This window comes from Homo sapiens, chromosome 10 (assembly GCF_000001405.40).
Source record: "Homo sapiens chromosome 10, GRCh38.p14 Primary Assembly".
NCBI classification, from domain to species: domain Eukaryota; kingdom Metazoa; phylum Chordata; class Mammalia; order Primates; family Hominidae; genus Homo; species Homo sapiens.
Genome location: NC_000010.11, coordinates 25010447 through 25029106, shown reverse-complemented (window position 1 = coordinate 25029106; position 18660 = coordinate 25010447). Strand labels below are relative to the sequence as shown.

Below are 18660 nucleotides of genomic sequence, written 5' to 3'. Positions count from 1 at the left end.
AAGAAGAGATAAAAATTAGACAAATGTCCAGTAGTGGGTAAGTGGATGGTGGTGTTCATACAATAGAATACTATTTAGTAATACAATTCAATGAATTGTGGCTTCATTCATCTGAATGGATGAATTTGGAAGTCTCTGAGCAAAAGAAATAGGTCATGGGATAACACATAAAGTATGACTCCATTTATATAAAATTCAAAGAGTCAGAACTAAACAATGCAGAACTATGAGAAAGGGAATGAATAACAGAAAATGTATGATGTAGTTACAGCTGGAGGAAGAAAGCGAATCTAATCAATCAAAGAAGAACCAAAGGTGAGTTGTGTTCCATTGGGTGAGGTGGTGAATACTTAGGTATTTAATGCTTATCCTTAAACTGTACATATATTTTACACTCTGGAGAAAAAGACAGGCAGGAAAGTGGAGACCATGTATGTAGATAACTCTGTGAAGAGCTTTATCTTGATTGGAGAATAAAGAAGCACAGATGGGAAAAAGGTGGATGTTCACAGAGATTTTGTTCTTATGCTAAAGTACAGAAAGACTCTAAATACCATAAGAAGAAAGGTTACACAGAAGGGGAGAAGTTGAAGAAACAAGAGGAAGGTACCTGATGACACACACCATTTAAGTAGGTTGAAGGGAATAGGATCCAAGGCACATCTAAAGAGACTGGCCTTTAAAAAGAGAAGGAATGCCACCCAATTCAATCAAAGGGGCGGGGAAAGGGACAGAAATGGATGCAGCAAACATATACACTTGATGATGGGAAGCCTGAGGTGTGTTATGTATGGTCACTTGTTCCTCTAGAATGAAGCAAAGTTATTAGCTGAGAGTGAAGGGCCAGAGTTGGTTTTGAGAAAAAGTGAAGACATGAAATAACTATTTTGGCCAGTAAGAAAATGTGCTGTCCACAAATAAATACACATGAACCCTTGGGCATTTCATCTTCCCTGTTTCTCCTGCCTCTGCTAGAATGTTTTCCCCCTTCCTTTTCACCTAGAAAATCTTCCCATCCTTCAAGATTCATCTTAGATTCTATGTCCTTTGTGAGACCTTTTCTGACTATCCCATAGTAATCCTTTCCTCTTAAATCTTACAGCACTTTAGCTACTTAGCTGTTATCACTCATTTTTCACTTATTGACACACCATCTTGCAATAACTCTTTTGCTTGTACGACTGAATTTTTGCGTTGTCTCGTTAACTACAGTTCTTGAAGGCAGAAATCATGTCTTTTTTATTTTTATTTATTTTTTTGAGACAGAGTCTTGCTCTGTTCCCTAGGCTGGAGTGCATGGTGTGATCTCAGCTCACTGCAACCTCTGCCTCATGGGTAGCTGGGACTACAGGTGTGCACCACCATATCCAGCTAATTTTTTGTATTTTTTGTAGAGATGGGGTTTCACCAGGCTGATCTTGAACTCCTGGCCTCAGGTGATCCACCCTCCTCGGCCTCCCAAAGTGCTGGGATTACAGGCATGAGCCACTGCGCCCAGCCAGAAATCATGTCTTTTAAAACACTGTTCCTCTCACTTTCAGAAAAATAATGCTTTTTTTTTTTTTTTGGAGACGGAGTTTTGCTCTTGTTGCCCAGGCTGGAGTGCAACGGCGCAATCTCTGCTCAACCGCAACCTGCATCTCCCAGGTTCAAGTGATTCTCCAGCCTCAGCCTCCCAAGTAGCTGGGACTACAGGCATGCGCCACCATGCCTGGCTAGTTTTTTTTTTTTTTTTTTTTTTTTTTTTTTGAGACGGGAGTCTTGCTCTGTCACCCAGGCTGGAGTGGCAGTGGCGCGATTTCGGCTCACTGCAAACTCCGCCTCCCGGGTTCATGCCATTCTCCTGCCTCAGCCTCCCGACTAGCTGGGACTACAGGTGCCTGCCACCACGCCCGGCTATTTTTTTGCATTTTTAGTAGAGACAGGGTTTCTCCATGTTGGTCAGGCTGGTCTCGAACTCCTGACTTCAGGTGATCCGCCTGCCTCAGCCTCCCAAAGTGCTGGGATTACAGGTGTGAGCCACCATGCCAAGCAAAATAATGCATTCTTATGTATAGTGAATATTTAGAGGCAGTTTCTAAATATATCATCTACTGAAATATCCTTAAAAGTAAATGATAAAATAATAAAGACATACATGAACAAACGTAACTTTGAATCTTCCATTTTTTTCCTATAACTGCTCCTGATTTTCAATTTTTGGTTTTAGAACCTCCTTTTTAGAAGCTAAGCCAGAGATCTGGTGTTAATATATAATTGGTTTAATTTTAAAAAAATTAAAACAAATTTCTCTTGCTTATTAAACTATTAAAATGTTTTCATTACAACTTTCAATATATTTCTTTATGGAGGTTGTTCTCCCAGAAAATGAAACTGAATGTTATCAAAGACAAATTATGTTAGGAATGCCATCTTGTGGTTGACAGTAGTCCATTACACTAATTGGTCTTGACAATCTTTAATTCAGAAAGAAAACATCCAGTAAATTCACAAACATAAATCATGGTTAAAATGTATTACTACAAAGGAATACAAATTAAATATGTGTATCAGTTGTGTGCAGTTTCAGCTGCCAGAAAAAGACAATGTTCACTGAAGAAATAAACAACAAATTACGTAAGAATTGACTCCAAATAATATAGGGAAACTGCTGTCTACAAATACACTCCTATTGAGACTACTCAAGTACTCTTAATTTTGGAAAACCTTCCTCTTGAAATAGATCATTTCTGTATTCACTTCTAAGTAGTTCTGCTTACTGTTTCATCCTGGATTTCAGTTATGTGTTGATTTTCAAACATCGTCACCCTAACCGTACACATCCAAAGGAGAGTGAAGGACAGAGTACATCTTTAATTTGGACAGTGTGAGATACACATTAGTTGTAGTCCAAAATGGAATTTGAGGAGGGTTAAAAACACTGGCCCTAGCCAGGTGCAGAGGCTCACGCCTGTAATCCTAGCACTTTGGGAGGCCGAGGTGGATGGATCACCTGAGGTCAGAGGTTCAAGATCAGCCTGGAAAACATGGCGAAACCTCATCTCTATTAAAAATAAAAAAATTAGCCATGTGTGGTGTTGCATGCCTGTAATCCCAGCTACCTGGGAGGCTGAGGCAGGAGAATCACTTGAACCTGGGAGGCGGAGGTTGCAGTGAGCTGAAACTGCACCAAAAAACAAACAAAAAACACTGGCCCAAATCCTAATAGAAGAGTTTACTACTTCCTCCATTCAAGTTAGCCATTTTGAGTGGTAAATTAACTTTCTAATCAACAGAGTATTCACTAGTTACAGATGTAGTACCTGAAAACTGGGCTTAAATATTTTAATCGCCAAATAGTATACCAGACATTTTGGTCCACATAACAGTGAGGGTGTGGGAGTGGAAATTGATACACCCCTCATGAGCAGAAGGCAAAAGTATGATAGCTCAAAGGTCCGTGCACTGTGTTACCTTTTGTCACTTCCAGATTAAAGATCTGAGGAGGTGACATGGAGTTCTCATGTCAGCCCTAGAGATCAGACTTTTGAAATTCCAAACAGATATAGAGATATTTACATAAAAGACAAAATGCTACTGTACTCCAAATCAGTGTTTGAGATTTATTATTGCATGCTTATAGCTAGAAAAAAAAATTTACTCTGAAAGCTTTCATATGAATTGATTTTGGACAAGTTGTTCCACATGACTCTTCAAGACATTCATATCAGCTGCACAGACCTGGTACTCCATCTTCTCTTGCTGTTTTGTTCTCTCTAATAAAGCCTCATGCAGTGGAGGTAATGCATTGTATGAACCCAGCAAATAGAGCTGACTTGATGAAGTCTCATTGATTTCTTTAATCTTTAAAGCCTGCATGATAGCAGGTGCAAACTTTGAGTAATGGGCTGTAGATGAGATAATCACAGGGCAAGTTTTGTCTTGCACCCTATCTGCAACCACTTTTGCAACAGCAGTGTGTGGATCCAAAATATACCCTGAAGTATTATAGGTGGAGTTAATAGCTGCTAGGCACTCTCCCTCAGAGCACCAGTCAGCTACAAAATCCTGCTGAAGTTTCTCAACTAGAGCCTTTTCTATCTGGAAATGATGCTGACTTTCTAATCGATTAAATAATTCTGTCATTAGCTGTCCATCTTTATTAGCCATCAAGTGTAAATGTCGTTCTAGGTTTGAAGATTTGAGAATATCTATTGACGGTGAAAAGGTTTGTGCTAGTTTTCTTTCCCTTAGATCATAATGTCCTGTTTTTATAAAATCAGTCAAAACATGGTTCTGATTAGAGGCACAGATAAATTTTCGAATCGGGATTCCCATCATTTTGGCATACACTGCTGCTAAAATGTTACCAAAGTTTCCTGTGGGAATACAGACATCGACTGGGCTTCCAAAAGAAATAAATCCTTGACTAACAAGATCAAGATATGCGGAAGCATGATAAACTACCTGCGGAAGTAGTCGGCCCCAGTTTATGGAGTTAGCCGAACTTAAGATTGTTCCATATTCCACAGTAAGAAAGCCAGTAAAATCAGAATCATTAAAAATTCTTTTTATAGCTGTCTGGCAAAAATCAAAATCTGACTCAACACCCACTGCCCATCCATTTTCTCTCTGACTGCCAATTATTTGTGCTTTTTGAAAATCACTTACTCCATTCTCAGGAAAAAATGCAACCACAGCTATCCTTTGCTTATCATTCTTATTTAGACGACTAAAACCATTTAAGACTGCACTCCCTGTGTCTCCTGAAGTAGCTACAAGTATCATATAATTGCAACTTGGTGGGATACAGTGTGCAAAAATATGAGGCATAAGCTGTAAAGACAAATCTTTAAATGATCCTGTTGGTCCATGAAACAACTCCAGGATGAACTGGTTGCCTGAAAGGTGCCTGACAGGAGCAATTTTTGAGCAGGCAAAGTTTTCCCCATAAGCAGTTTCAATCATTTCTCCCAACCTGGCAGCAGGTATGTCTGCAGGATGGATACATCTTTCCAACAGTATCTGTGCTCTTTCTACGTAGGTTGCTCCTACTAGGCTTTTCCACTCCCCGCAGCTTAATTTTGGAAACTCCTTTGCAGGAACAAAGAGGCCACCATCAGAAGCCAACCCCTCAATTACAGCTTCACTAAAGAATTTTGCTGAAACCTTCTGTTCACAGTCTTCAGGCCAAACGTGTCTTGTTGAAATGAATGTTTCCGAGTCCACATCTTGGTATCTTTTAATTGCATTCAGCACTTTGTCAGCTACCTCCTCTGGGGAAGCCCCACTTTCACAGAAAACACGAGCATCATACCACTTCTTATAATACTGTCTTCTAAATTTAAGTAAGTCTTTCATAGATGTTCCAGAATTCTGACCTACAATCCTATCTGTCTTCATTAATTTTAGACGACAAATTAGATCTAGTAGAGGTACATCCAGGTATACAATTATTCCATTTTTCTTCAGATGCCACATGCTAGCATCATGCATTGGATTGGACCCAGTAAGGGAAATCACACTTCCAGATGCAGAGAAGTTTAACACAGCTTTTCCTTCCTCTTCTAAAAATTGCTCATTACCAACATCCTGTAATTTTTCAGACACACTCATATTCCAGGTTTTTTCAAGGATATCATCATCCACATCTATGACACAACAACCTAGTTTCTGACCTATTATTCTGCCTACTGTTGTTTTCCCAGCACCAGGAGGTCCCATCAGGATAATATTTTTGTCTCCAACAAGAGAGTGGGTTGAATACCATGACTTCCTCAATTCCGCAAGTGCAAAGGTTCTTGAAAGAAATCGCTGTGCATGTTTATCCGTTTTAACATGTATACTAGAAAAACATTTCTGTGTTATCTTTTTCAGATGATGACATCGGTTAAAGTGGAGCATTCTCTTTTCACTTTTCTGCCCAAGCCAACCTAAAAATTGGCTTTAGCCCTTTTCAAAACACAAAACAAACAAAAAACAACAAAAGATAATTTGGTTACTAATTACAGTAGATTGTTAAAATCCCAATAGGACTGAATATAACCATGCCCATGGTACATAAACTGTTTAAAAATCTTCCAAACTTATGGAATTAAAAAAAGTATTCCAACCCAAATTCTTATATATTGCATATTATCCTTTTAATGATATCTTTTAAAATCTCAAGACACTGAAAAATCAAAACTTTGACAAAATTTGTAACTATAAAAAACAGAAACTTGTATTCACAAAGTGCCAGATTGTAGATGCTTTTAAAAGTATATATACACTAAATCAAATTACTATTTCTTTTCATATTGAGATCTTTTAATGAAAATTATTTCATGGTTTATCAGTTTATATCACATATAAAGATGATTTGGAGTTGGAGTGCTATCTACTTGCAATTCACAAAAGTTGAACAATATTCTTTATATTTAATTTCTCTTCAGTTATATGAACATTGTGACAGACTATATTACTCATAAATTTCTTATAGAAGTCATAACAGGAAACCAGAATAAAAGAACATATTTGCTTATAAAATGCTTAGTTTTCCAAACTACAGGACAAAGGTATGACATTTTCTTTCTTATGTGCCTTTTACACGCATATTAAGAATCATTGTTACATATTATTCATATTGAAGGCTTTAAAAAGAGCCAAGGTGAAAGGTATATTATACAAATAGTTAAGAAAAATTAATAATCAGCAATGAGGTCAAAGGCTACATATAACCTTATCTGCACAGAACCATCACTTTTGTTTCTAACCCTATAATCATCAGTGGAGAGATTTAACTCAATTTCCAGACCCCAGGGCCACAGCCAAGAACCTCAGGAATGTTTCCAATGATGAGAGACAACAATTATTCTGGCATCCAAAGAAGCTCTATAATTTCCCATATTGACCAAGTCCTTGTCTTTGGAAATATACTCACCATTAAAACAAAAATGTATGCCAGACAAGTCAAGTTTTTAGTTACGTAAAATGCAGTATAATACCTGTGCAATGTTCATGTAAATTGCCTGAAGTAATGTCACAGACACATAGTGGGGCTTATCACGTGTTCTCTGGTAGAAGCAATATGCAACTAAACCATATTAAATACTAGATCATATGTTAAAATATGTTCTGAAAACTTTTAATCATGTAATACTGACTTTCTATGCTACTTAAACTCTGTTCTGTAATTAAACATTTAAATGATTTTAAGCTAACTCTGAATTTAACTTACAAGTAAAATTAGAGCCGTCAAGGGAGGTAATTCATTTCCTTATTTGACTTTTCAATTTATATGTGTTGTGCTTAATTTCCACTGACTTGTAAACATAGGACACACCGGAACCAATCTGAAGAGTTTGTTGACTCTGAGGCAAAACCGATCTTTGCAAAACGTGGAGTCTATAATGGAAAAAAATTTAAGTTAATCATAACTGTATAGAGTATCATAAAATTCTACACATAGACTAGTCTATTATTTGAAAAGCTCATCTGAAATTTTAAAAATACAGAAAAATTGACCCTTTTCATATGTTTCCCCAAATCTGTTATTAGAAGATTAAAATACTGTTTTTAAACATGTGTGTCTCATTATAAAAAGAATTTCACTAAACAGTACTGAAGGAATTTCTACCATCAAGCAATAAAAAACCAAATAATAACAAATATAAAACTTTTCAGAAGGATATCTGGAATTTTAATGATTTGGCTGTATAATGATCAGAGGGGAAAAAGTCAGCAGACTAAAGCTATGAAATTAGTGTCTGAGTTGTTTTTTAGGCTATATTATCTATCAAAATCACTATATATTCATATGTAATAATATCCACTATAAAAAGCCCAAATAAAACTCTTGCCACAAAAAGATACCTCTTAGCTATATAAGTGTCTATAATAAAATCAAAGCACATATCATAGTGGTTAGCACAAAATATTTACAGTAAGATTAATCATTGTCACTCACTGACAGTGGGCTAGGAATATATAAATTGAACCCAAATATGTAGGTACAAGGCAGGGTGCATTTTTTTTATGGTTTGGTTTATAAACCTTCAGAGAATACCGTGGTGTTCACCCACGAATCAAGAACTGTTTTGCCATGCACAGTCTAATCCTTTCCCTGAAGTAAACCAGGGACCAGAAAGAATTATATACTTGAACCATAACATCAATTTATTTTATTAAACCATATTCTGGTACTGGACTTTAAAAGCACAAACTGCTTTTAGGGCACTTACATAAAACAGTCTGATTAACCTCCTATTCAGGAAGCTTTTGCTTGTAACATTACAGTTTCTTCTTTTTGAGTTTGCAATACATAACTTTCTGATACCTGTATTAGTAATAATTGTATATAATCTGAGTAGATGGTTTTCATGAGCAGTAATTTTTTTTTTTTTTTTGAGAAAGGGTCTTCCACTGTCACCCAGGCTGGAGTGCAGTGGCATGATCTCAGCTCACTGCAGCCTCAACCTCCTGGGCTCAGGTGATCCTCCCACCAGGTGTGCATCACCACACCCAGCTAATTTTTGTAGGTTTTCTAGAGACAGGGTTTCACCATGTTGCCCAGACTGATCTCGAACTCCTGAACTCAAGCAATCCTCCCACTTTGGCCTCCCAAAGTGCTGGGATTAGAGGCATGAACCACCATACTGGCCCAGTAAATCTTTCATCTTTTCTTCCGCTTTATATTGCTTGCTACCATGCTTAACATCAACTTCATTAAAAGTAGATTGTAAGGAAACATTATGTTACCTTCACCTTATGTTTTGCAATCTTACTTTTCCTATATGTTAGTTCCCCTCTACCCTCTTGTTTTTAAATTTTACTTCACTTCCCTTTTTCAAGACTTTGGGGTAGATATATATAGATATAGATATAGATATAGATATAGATATAGATATATTTTAAAGAAAATTATGACAGTTCAATTTGTAAATTCTGTATCAATATTATTTCCCACAAACATGTTCCTTAGACTAGCAGAAGGCAGTTAAGTGCTATAATATATATTATTTCTAAAGAACAATAAAGATATATTCTATTTTAAGCTACATACTAAATTTTATTTTGTAACATTTAACCACAAATTGATTTTAGGGGCTCAACATTTTTTAACCAACCAAATGAGGAAAAGACATCCTCATTTCTTTTTTGAGAACGTCTGCTGCAATGGCCACTCGGGAATATACATAGAAGGCATATATATGGACTTCACCAAAGCATTACACATGGTTCATTTAAAATTTTTTTAATTCACGGAGAAATGGAAAAAAAAGATTTGAGGATATTGTTGAATGATCATAAAAATGGTTCTGTTGAATAGAGGGAAATTTCTGGTAGTGCACTCCAAGGCTTTTGGTCTTGACACTCTTCTCTTTCATGTGTTTAACAATTATTTGGATTAAGCATTGAGAGGGATATTGGATAATTAGCAGTTAATAGGACTGACTTTAGAGTGAGAAAAATCTGCAGATGTGCAAGTCCTTTATATAAAATGGTGTAGTATTTGCATATAACCTGTGCACATCCTCCTGTATACCTTAATCTCTGAATAACTTATAATACATAATACAATGCAAATGCTAGGTACAGAGCTGTTGTACTAATTTGCTTTTTTGTTTGTGGTATTTTTACTGTTCCATTATTTTCGTGTTTTTGTTTGTTTTTCAGACAGGCTCCCACTCTGTTGCCCAGGCAGGAGTGCAGTGGCACAATCTTGGCTCACTACAGCCTTGACTTCCTAGGCTCAAGCAATCCTCCCACCTCAGCCTCCCAAGTAGCTGGGACTAAAGGCACGCACCACCACACCCAGCTAATTTTAGTATTTTTAGTAGAGAGGGGGTTTCGCCATGTTGCCCAGGCTGGTCTCCAACTCCTGGGCTCAAGCAGTCTTCCTGCCTTGGCCTTCAAAAAGTGCTTGGATTGCAGGTATGAGCCACTGTGCCCAACTAAAATTTTAAAATATTTTCAATCTGTAATTAGTTGAATCTGAGAATGGGAAATTCACAGATATGGAGAACTAACTGTGTATCAGGACACAAACTAGCCAAAAGGAGGTTAAGCTCTACTGCTTCTGACTTCTGACCAAAAATTCTCTCAAACTTTTCATTCAGAGGGCCTCCCACTTGCCATGAAACAGAGGTGAGGGTGGAAGGACCACACAATCCAGTATAGTTCTGTAATCACAAGGATCTCACAACTAAAACAATTTTGCAAGTTCATCACTTAGTCTTTATATTACTATCAAAGCTGACTAAGCTTTTTCTGCCGTTAGACTTCTGCTGTTAGACATATTCTTAACGATCTCGAATATTTAATTGAAAACTTTAGTATCCACAATTCTATAACTTTGAGAATTATAAAGAACCTGTCTTTATAAAGGGTTTATTTACCTTCCAATTGTCTTATATACTCATCTACACCCATTTTATTCATTTAAATAGATTAAAATAATCCTTCGCAAAAAAAAAAAAAAAAAAAACAACTCTCATTTGTTTATGTACATCACAGGCATACCATTATATACGGGGATCTAGGATCTGTGCAAACTACAATCCACAGGCTAAATCTGGCCCACCATCATTTTCATAAATCAAGTTTCTTTGAAGCACAACTTCAGTCATTCATGTGCTCACATATTTGTTCAGTACCGTCTTTGGCTGCTTTTGAGCTACAATGGCAAAACTGAGTAGTTGCAACATAACCACTTGGCCTAAAAAGGCCTGAAATATTTACTGTCTACCCCTTTATAGACAGTTTGTTCATCCCTGTAGGTATATACCAGTTAATTCCCTGTGGACATGCGGTGGACACAGGCATTTTTTTGAAGTGTCATTTCAAGAGCATTATAAAAACTAGAAATAATTTTGCTTAAACACACTTTCAAAAGGCAAGGAGAATTGCAGATCAAATGTCTAAGAAAAAAGAAAAGTTTTTTTCCAAATGATTTAACAACCTGCTCATGGCTGTAAACTAACTATACCACAGTGAGGTCTTGCACAAATTGTTTAGCATTTTTTAAAGCATAATAAATATACAGACATCAGTGAAATTATTTTATTTCAGTAACCCCAGAACATCAAGGCTACCAAAGGCCAGTTGGTGCTAACTGCAGAAATCATGTTTTGCCCTTACTTGCTATTTCAGGAACTGATTAACACAAATAGTCTCAAGGTGTTCCTTCTAATTAGAAAATTCATAAGCTTTAGCCAGTGACTATCCACTTGGCTAATGGCGTTATCATTCCATGAGTCCTTGGTTCGAATCTTCGTACATACAGGAGGTTTCCCGCCAAATTTTTTCTCTATACTTGCTAAACAGAAATCCCAAACATAAAATACTCAAGGGCGAAAAGAAAGGGGCAAAGTGATATAGATTTGGATCTAGATCTAAATATAGATCTACAGATCCATCTATCTAAAATGTTTTGGAAGACAATCTGATGTGAAGAAATCTGGAGAATTTTCCCTAAGCGTCTGGGACAAAAATTAAAATCAACTGTATACAAAAAAAAAAAAAAGAAAAACTTAACGTATTCTTATGTAGTGAAATTCAGTAAGAGCCCAAAGTAAGGACCTACACATTCAGTAAAGCCTTTTTATACAGGAACTAAAAGGTTCACCAGGCCATTGTGTTGTTTTAATCACTCCGCCAGCCAACCAGGCAGTGAGAAACCCAGACTCAAGTGTGTTTTCTCTCCTCTCCGGGAAGCTTTATTTCCTTCGGGCAGAGTGGCCTCTGTACCGGTGGTTCAGAGGCATCCATCTTCCTCCCCAAATCCTATTACCAAAATGTCTTTTAAACACTCGGGTAAAAGCGTCTAAATGACTTTCCTACGGCAGGCCCATGTGCATAGATTTACGGGTGACCAGGTGGAACAAAAAGGAATAAAACCGCTTCTCAGAAGACAATTTTCCAACAAGGGACACCAAAAACTGGACAAAAACGTAAAGGCCCACTTAAAAGGCTTCTCCTCTTAGTTTAGGCTGCTCATTTACAAAGAGCAGGTCCACTGGTTCCTGGAGAACGACCTAGAGGAAGAGTCCCGACCCGGGGAAGAGCAGGCGCAGAGCCGACCCGGAGGACCGCCCAAGGGGCGGTCCCGGGAGCAGGGGCGGGAGGGCGAGCGCAGCAGGCGGAGGAGGCCGCGGGCCCCGTGCGCGCACTCACACACGTGGCGGGCAGGGCTGCGCGGCGTTCCGAGGAGCCTCGACCAGAAGCAGCAGGAAAAATGCGCGCAGAGTTGAGATGACCAGCGAGTAGCGGAAAGGGGAAGGGACGGTACGGGGAAAGGCATGCGATGGGAGCGGGCTGGCTTCTAGTTTTCCTTCCTTTCTCCTCCAATAACTCACCAAGGAAATCTCACTGAGAAGACGGGGGAAATGAAAGGAAATGGGGGAGCAGTGTCCACGAGCCGCTAAAGCCTCCACAGGAGACGGAGCACCGTACCTGCAGCTAGCTCCCCGGTCCCGCCCCCGCGCAGTGGACTCTGCGCCTGTGCCTGCGGCGGCCAGCGTGCCTCCGCTCCACGCCCTTCCCCGAGCGGCCTCGCGCAGGGCACGTGACTCTCCTTTCTCACTGTAGCCTATCCGAGCACTCCGATCTCCTCAGGCTCCTCCCCTCCCTCGTCTCCCTGGCGGCGCTGGCCTTGCGTCCTCGTGGTCTCAGCCGCTCGCTCCGCCCACACCGCGATTGGGGCCTGCTCACAAAAACCTTATTGGGTGACGCCTGCGCACCAGCTGCGCTTTGCCGTCTCTACTAGGATTTTTCTTTTTTCCCCAGATACACAGAAATAGAAAAGAGCACAGTTTTTAAGGGGACATCATTTTCACCCCGTTAACTTTCAAAGGCACGTAAAAACAGTGGCTTCCAAATGAGCTTCTCTAGCAGAAGGCGCTGCAGAAAGAGGGAAGAGGGGAGACCTAGTTTGCGGTGCTGCCTGCCACTTCCTCGTTGCCTAGTAACGGTTTCCACGGCAACCGCACAGTCAACGACGCTTAGCAATCCGGAGAGAAATAGGGTGTTTTCTTCCCGAGAGAGGACTGCTAAGAGGGGGTTAAAGGGGGACGATGTGAAGGAGAGAACCTGTGGTCCTTCAGAAGGCGAAGAAGAAAGAAAGGGGAAGCAGTGAAGAAAGGGACGGAGATACTGGGACAGGGAGAAAAAAGTTGTGGAGAGTAGCTTTTAAGGAGTCATTTGGTGGCCATGGATCCAACGTGCTCTTCTGAGTGCATTTATAACCTCATACCCAGTGACTTGAAGGAGCCTCCCCAGCCTCCTAGGTATGTGGATAAGCAAAGACTATCACTTGAAACAAGAATGGGGAATACTCAGTATTAATTAAGCATACATATACTGGAATTTTTAATAATAAATAAAATGTATTTTTGCCTCGATGAAGTAGCCTTGGAGGATAACTTGTTAGAGAAAAGGTCGAAATATCTAGGTATTCAGCATCTCACAGTTTTACAGAGAGGGCAGTCTGGCGCTGTGAGATGACCATTTTATTATATTACACTTAACCTCTTATTAATACGGTATGTGATTATTGTGTAATTTAATTATATGTGATATACAGCATAGTATGAAGTTTCATGTTGAAAAGAAAAAAATCACAATTCTATTATCTTGTTTAAGGATACTTGATGTTTGGTTTCAGGAGTTCGGTGTTGTATTTCTAACTGCACTACTCCCTCTCTAATGGGATAGGATAGGACTTTTCCCCCAAGATTTTTATGAAATATAAATTTACATTTGCTTTTGAGCCTCAGGTTTTTGATCAGTGAAACGAAATATCTACCACTATTAGGCAGTTTCTAAGGACTTTTTCAGATCTAATGGTTTAAATGGAAGGAAGAATTGGTGGATAGATAATGAACCAAAAAATATGTAATTGAGTTGAAATTTTACATAGGTCTTAGAACCTCTTAAATTCTCCAAATCTCAAAAACGTGCAAAGGAAGCACTTCAGTTACTCCCATCTGTAGGGACTTCTTAGAACTTACTTAAATCTGTGGGGAGCAAAGAAAGTAGTGGAGAAAATCTCATTTCTCCTAGGACTTGAAATGTTTCCTGTCTTTTACCATCATCCTTGTCCGTATGCAAGTCAAAACCACATTTGAAAAGGACTGGACTAAAAATCGGGCCTAGCAATTAATTGTCTTTGTGAACTTTAGAATAAAGTTTCATTTGTTTACTGATCTGTGAGATAAATGTACCAGATAATATCCAAGGCCCCTTTTAGATCTAATGGTCAATTATTTTTACTAGTATTAGGGTAATAGCTTCAACAAGTAGGCAGCTTCTTCAATTTTAAGTATCTGGTTTAAATTAGAGCAGTAACTGTATTACATCTCCATTAGCATATCAACATCTAGAGACTGGAAAGAGGAATGTAAAGTAAGTTATGGCACAGTTGCAGAATTTATTTTCAAATTTTCTATTGTTGCACCAACTTTTGGTTTCAAATTCCTGCATATTACATGAGATAAAACTCCTCTATAACAGATTGGTAGATTGTATTTCTATAGAATATTGAATTTGAGAGTTATTTTATTAGGTAGGTATTCTGTTCTTTGGCAAATTAAAAAGCTTTACTGCATCTAGACGATTTTTTTTTTCAAAAAAAATTTATAGGAACAGTCTTTATTCATTTGGCAAGCATTAATGGAGCCCCTATTATGTGTATAATATTGCACTAGTATATCTGTTCTTGGTGCTGTTGGAGTGATAGCACAGACTTCTTGGTTTTACTATGAAGAAATGAGTAGAAGAAAGATTTATGATTAGAGGAAATAGAGGCACCCAAATGTGATGCCAAAAGAATCATTTCTGTTAGGTTAAAGTCAATTTACACTGGCAAGATTCTGACAACTGCCTGGCTTTTGATCTCCCACGCCTCAGAGTTTACCGTCTTTTTGGGGAACTGAAATATGAACACTAAAATTTATCATTGAAAACCATAATGAGAGATGAAGATACTAAATGAGAACTTAGAAGATGAATGTATGTGACCAAAATCGGATGAAAGGCACTTTTCTGCAGTTGAACTATTGGCTGAGACTTAAGTTATGAAAGCCTCAGAGTCAATGGGAAGTCATGATTCAGTTTTCAAAATTTGAGTTACTCATGATGCATAAGATGGTTTCCAAGATTTTCACCAAATCTGTCACCCTTTTTTTTTTAATTACTTTTTTTTCAAGACGGAGTTTCACTCTTTTTGCCCAGGCTGGAGTGCAATGGCGCCATCTTGGCTCACTGCAGCTTCTGCCTCCTGGGTTCAAGCGATTCTCCTGCCTCAGCCTCCCGAGTAGCTGGGATTACAGGTCCCTGCTACCATGCCTGGCTAATTTTGTATTTTTAGTAGGGATGGGGTTTCACCATGGTGGCCAGGCTGGTCTTGACCTCCTGACCTCCAGTAATCCACCCACCTCTGCCTCCCAAAGTGCTATGATTATAGGCGTGAGCCACCACGCCTGGCCTATCACCCTTTATTGATGTCTGCAGTTATTGAATATCTCCAGTCATCCCCTCTTTCCATTTTGTTTAAAGCAATATTCCAGTTATGGTCTGAACAGTCCATGAAACCATTATCTCCTTTCCATAATTCTTGGCACAATATTTTCATCCATTCAGCCTAAGCTTCCATAAGCATTTTGACAGTCATGTCCAACTATTGGCTCACACTAAAATACCCTGTATGGATTTTGACTAAGGTTGGTCTCTCCCATCCTCTAATTATGTAGCTGATTCTTTTTTATCTCAACTCATTAATCTATGGAGATAGTTTTGCATTTGAATCTTTTATACATTCTGTTAACCATTCTTTTTGTGTCATTTGCAAATTTAATAAATATGTCTTTTATATCTCTTATCTATCATAGAACATAGTATATTAGTCTGTTCTCACGCTGCTAATAAAGACATACTCGAGACTGGGTAATTTATATTTCAAAAGAAGTTTAATTGACTCACAGTTTCACATGGCTGAGGAAGCCTTACAATCATGGCAGAAGGCAAAGGCGGAGCAAAGTCACATCTTACATGGTGGCAGGAAAGAGAGTGTGTGCAGGGGAACTCCCCTTTATAAAACCATCAGATCTCATGAGACTTATTCACTATCATGAGAGCAGCACAGGAAAGACCCACTCCCATGATTCAATTACCTATCACCAGATCCCTCCCATGACATATGGGAATTATGGGATCTCATCAATTTAATGTGAGATTTGCGTGGGGATGCAGCCAAACCATATCATTCTACCCCAGCCCCTCCCAGATCTCATGTCCTCACATTTCAAAACCAATCATACCTTCCCAACAGTCCCCCAAAGTCTTAACTCATTTCAGCATTAACTCAGAAGTCCACAGTTCAAAGTCTCATTTGAGACCAGGCAAGTCCCTTCTGCCTACAAGCATATAAAATCAAAAGCAAGTTAGGTACTTCCCAGATACAATGGGGGTCCAGGCATTGGGTAAATATAACCATTCGAAATAGCAGAAATTGGCCAAAACAAAGGGGCTATAGGCCCCTTGCAAGTCCAGATTCTAATAGGGCAGTCATTAAACCTTAAAGTTCCAAAATGATCTCCTTTGACTCCATGTCTCACATCCAGGTCACGCTGATGCAAGAGGTGGGATCCTATGGTCTTGGGCAGCTCTGTCCCTGTGACCTGGCACAGTACAGCCCCCATTCCGGCTGCTTTCATGGGTGGGCATTGAGTGTCTGCAGCTTTTCTGGGTGCATGGTGCATGCTCTCAGTGGATTTACCATTCTGAGGTCTGGAGAACAGTGGCCCTCTTCTCACAGCTCCACTAGGCAGTGCCCCAGTGGGAATTCTGTGTGGGGGGCTCCCACCCCATATTTCCCTTCCACACTGCCCTAGCAGAGGTTCTCCATGAGGGCTCTGCCCCGAAGCACATCTTTGCCTAGACATCCAGACATTTTGATACAACCTTTGAAATCTAGGTGGAGGTTCCCAAACCTCAATTCTTGACTTCTGTGCACCCGTAGTCCCAACACCATGTGGAAGCCACCAAGGCTTGGGGCTCGCACCCTCTGAAGCAATGGCCTGAGCTCTACGTTGTCCCCTTTTAGCCATGGCTGTGACTCAGGGCACCAAGTCCCAAGATTGCACAAAGCAGCAAGGCCCTGGGCCCAGCCCATGAAACCATTTTTTCTCCTAGGTCTCTGGGCCTGTGATGGGAGGGGCTGCTGTGGAGACCTCTGACAGGCTCTGGAGACATTTTCCCCATTGTTTTGGCTATTAACATTTGGCTTCTCCTTATGCAAATTTCTGCAGCTGGCTTGAATTTCTCCTCAGAAAATTGGTTTTTCTTTTCTATTGCATCATCGGGCTGCAAATTTTCTGAACTTTTATGCTCTGCTTCCTTTTAAACATAAGTTGCCATTTGTCAATTTTGGCTTTTGTTGCCATTGCTTTTGGTGTTTTAGACATGAAAACCTTGCCCATGCCTATATCCTGAATGGTAATGCCTAGGTTTTCTTCTAGGGTCTTTATGGTTGCAGGTCTAACGTTTAAGTCTTTAATCCATCTTGAATTAATTTTTGTATAAGGTGTAAGGAAGGGTTCCACTTTCAGCTTTCTACATATGGCTAGCCAGTTTTCCCAGCACCATTTATTAAATAGGGAATCCTTTCCCTATTGCTTGTTTTTCTCAGGTTTGTATCTAATTAAACTAGAGCTTCTGCACAGCAAAAGAAACTACCATCAGAGTGAATAGGCAACCTACAGAATGGGAGAAAATTTTTGCAACCTACTCATCTGACAAAGGGCTAATATCCAGAATCTACAATGAACTCAAACAAATGTACAAGAAAAAAACAAACAACCCCATCAAAAAGTGGGCAAAGGACATGAACAGACACTTCTCAAAAGAAGACATTTATGCAGCCAAAAGACAGATGAAAAAATGGTCATCATCACTGGCCATCAGAGAAATGCAAATCAAAACCACAGTGAGATACCATCTCACACCAGTTAGAATGGCAATCATTAAAAAGTCAGGAAACAACAGGTGCTGGAGAGGATGTGGAGAAATAGGAACACTTTTACACTGTTGGTGGGACTGTAAACTAGTTCAACCATTGTGGAAGTCAGTGTGGCGATTCCTCAGGGATCTAGAACTAGAAATACCATTTGACCCAGCCATCCCATTACTGGGTATATACCCAAAGGACCATAAATCATGCTGCTATAAAGACACATGCACACGTATGTTTATTGTGGCACTATTCACAATAGCAAAGACTTGGAACCAACCCAAATGTCCAACAATGATAGACTGGACTAAGAAAATGTGGCACATATACACCATGGAATACTATGCAGCCATAAAAAATGATGAGTTCATGTCCTTTGTAGGGACATGGATGAAATTGGAAATCGTCATTCTCAGTAAACTATCACAAGGACAAAAAACCAAACACCGCATGTTCTCACTCATAGATGGGAATTGAACAATGAGAACACATGGACACAGGAAGGGGAACATCACACTCTGGGGACTGTTGTGGGGTGGGGGTAGGGGGGAGGGATAGCATTAGGAGATATACCTAATGCTAAATGACGAGTTAATGGGTGCAGCACACCAGCATGGCACATGTATACATATGTAACTAACCTGCACATTGTGCACATGTACCCTAAAACTTAAAGTATAATAATAATAATA

General features: G+C 39.3%; 2 protein-coding genes across 8 annotated transcripts in view, besides 6 other annotated features; one reads left to right on the top strand and one right to left on the bottom strand.

Moving 5' to 3' along the window:
- The window catches only part of ENKUR (enkurin, TRPC channel interacting protein), an 80343-nt gene that overhangs the window by 33221 nt on the left and 28462 nt on the right, over positions 1–18660 (top strand). For 3 of the 4 annotated variants that reach the window (NR_072993.2, NR_072992.2, NM_145010.4), the window contains exon 1: positions 12949–13247. The exons of the other annotated variant lie outside the window; for it this stretch is intronic. Coding sequence is in view for 1 of the 3 variants with exons in the window: in NM_145010.4 (NP_659447.1) it covers positions 13171–13247 (77 nt within the window). In the remaining 2 variants the exon portion in view is untranslated. Of the gene's footprint in view, positions 1–12948; positions 13248–18660 lie in introns of those variants that run through there. 4 annotated transcript variants of the gene reach the window in all.
- Positions 2443–18660, bottom strand: part of THNSL1 (threonine synthase like 1) — a 74301-nt gene continuing 58083 nt past the window's right edge. For 2 of the 4 annotated variants that reach the window (XM_017016665.2, XM_047425764.1), the window contains exons 3-4: positions 7199–7365; positions 2443–5931 (exon numbers count right to left, since the gene is read on the bottom strand). In XM_017016665.2, the coding sequence (XP_016872154.1) occupies positions 3652–5883 (2232 nt within the window). In that variant the 5' untranslated portion in view covers positions 5884–5931; positions 7199–7365 and the 3' untranslated portion in view covers positions 2443–3651. Of the gene's footprint in view, positions 5932–7198; positions 7366–12317; positions 12496–18660 lie in introns of those variants that run through there. The other 2 variants (XM_005252597.4, NM_024838.5) reach the window with 2 other exon arrangements.
- Positions 11774–11853: an enhancer, noted in NCBI's record as "active region_3161". NCBI's record gives its function as "activates an Ori minimal core promoter by ATAC-STARR-seq in GM12878 lymphoblastoid cells {active_cell/tissue: GM12878}" and the evidence as "EXISTENCE:reporter gene assay evidence [ECO:0000049][PMID:35858748]".
- Positions 12058–12820: an enhancer, noted in NCBI's record as "NANOG-H3K27ac-H3K4me1 hESC enhancer chr10:25305216-25305978 (GRCh37/hg19 assembly coordinates)". NCBI's record gives its function as "activates a minimal SCP1, AML or CMV promoter by ChIP-STARR-seq in naive H9 embryonic stem cells {active_cell/tissue: H9 hESC(naive)}" and the evidence as "EXISTENCE:reporter gene assay evidence [ECO:0000049][PMID:30033119]".
- Positions 12104–12183: a silencer, noted in NCBI's record as "silent region_2232". NCBI's record gives its function as "represses an Ori minimal core promoter by ATAC-STARR-seq in GM12878 lymphoblastoid cells {active_cell/tissue: GM12878}" and the evidence as "EXISTENCE:reporter gene assay evidence [ECO:0000049][PMID:35858748]".
- Positions 12364–12563: a silencer, noted in NCBI's record as "silent region_2231". NCBI's record gives its function as "represses an Ori minimal core promoter by ATAC-STARR-seq in GM12878 lymphoblastoid cells {active_cell/tissue: GM12878}" and the evidence as "EXISTENCE:reporter gene assay evidence [ECO:0000049][PMID:35858748]".
- Positions 12453–12747: an enhancer, noted in NCBI's record as "tiled region #97; K562 Activating DNase unmatched - State 1:Tss, and HepG2 Activating DNase unmatched - State 1:Tss". NCBI's record gives its function as "activates a minimal TATA promoter and a strong SV40 promoter by Sharpr-MPRA in K562 cells, with weaker activation in HepG2 cells {active_cell/tissue: HepG2 | K562}" and the evidence as "EXISTENCE:reporter gene assay evidence [ECO:0000049][PMID:27701403]".
- Positions 12894–12943: a silencer, noted in NCBI's record as "silent region_2230". NCBI's record gives its function as "represses an Ori minimal core promoter by ATAC-STARR-seq in GM12878 lymphoblastoid cells {active_cell/tissue: GM12878}" and the evidence as "EXISTENCE:reporter gene assay evidence [ECO:0000049][PMID:35858748]".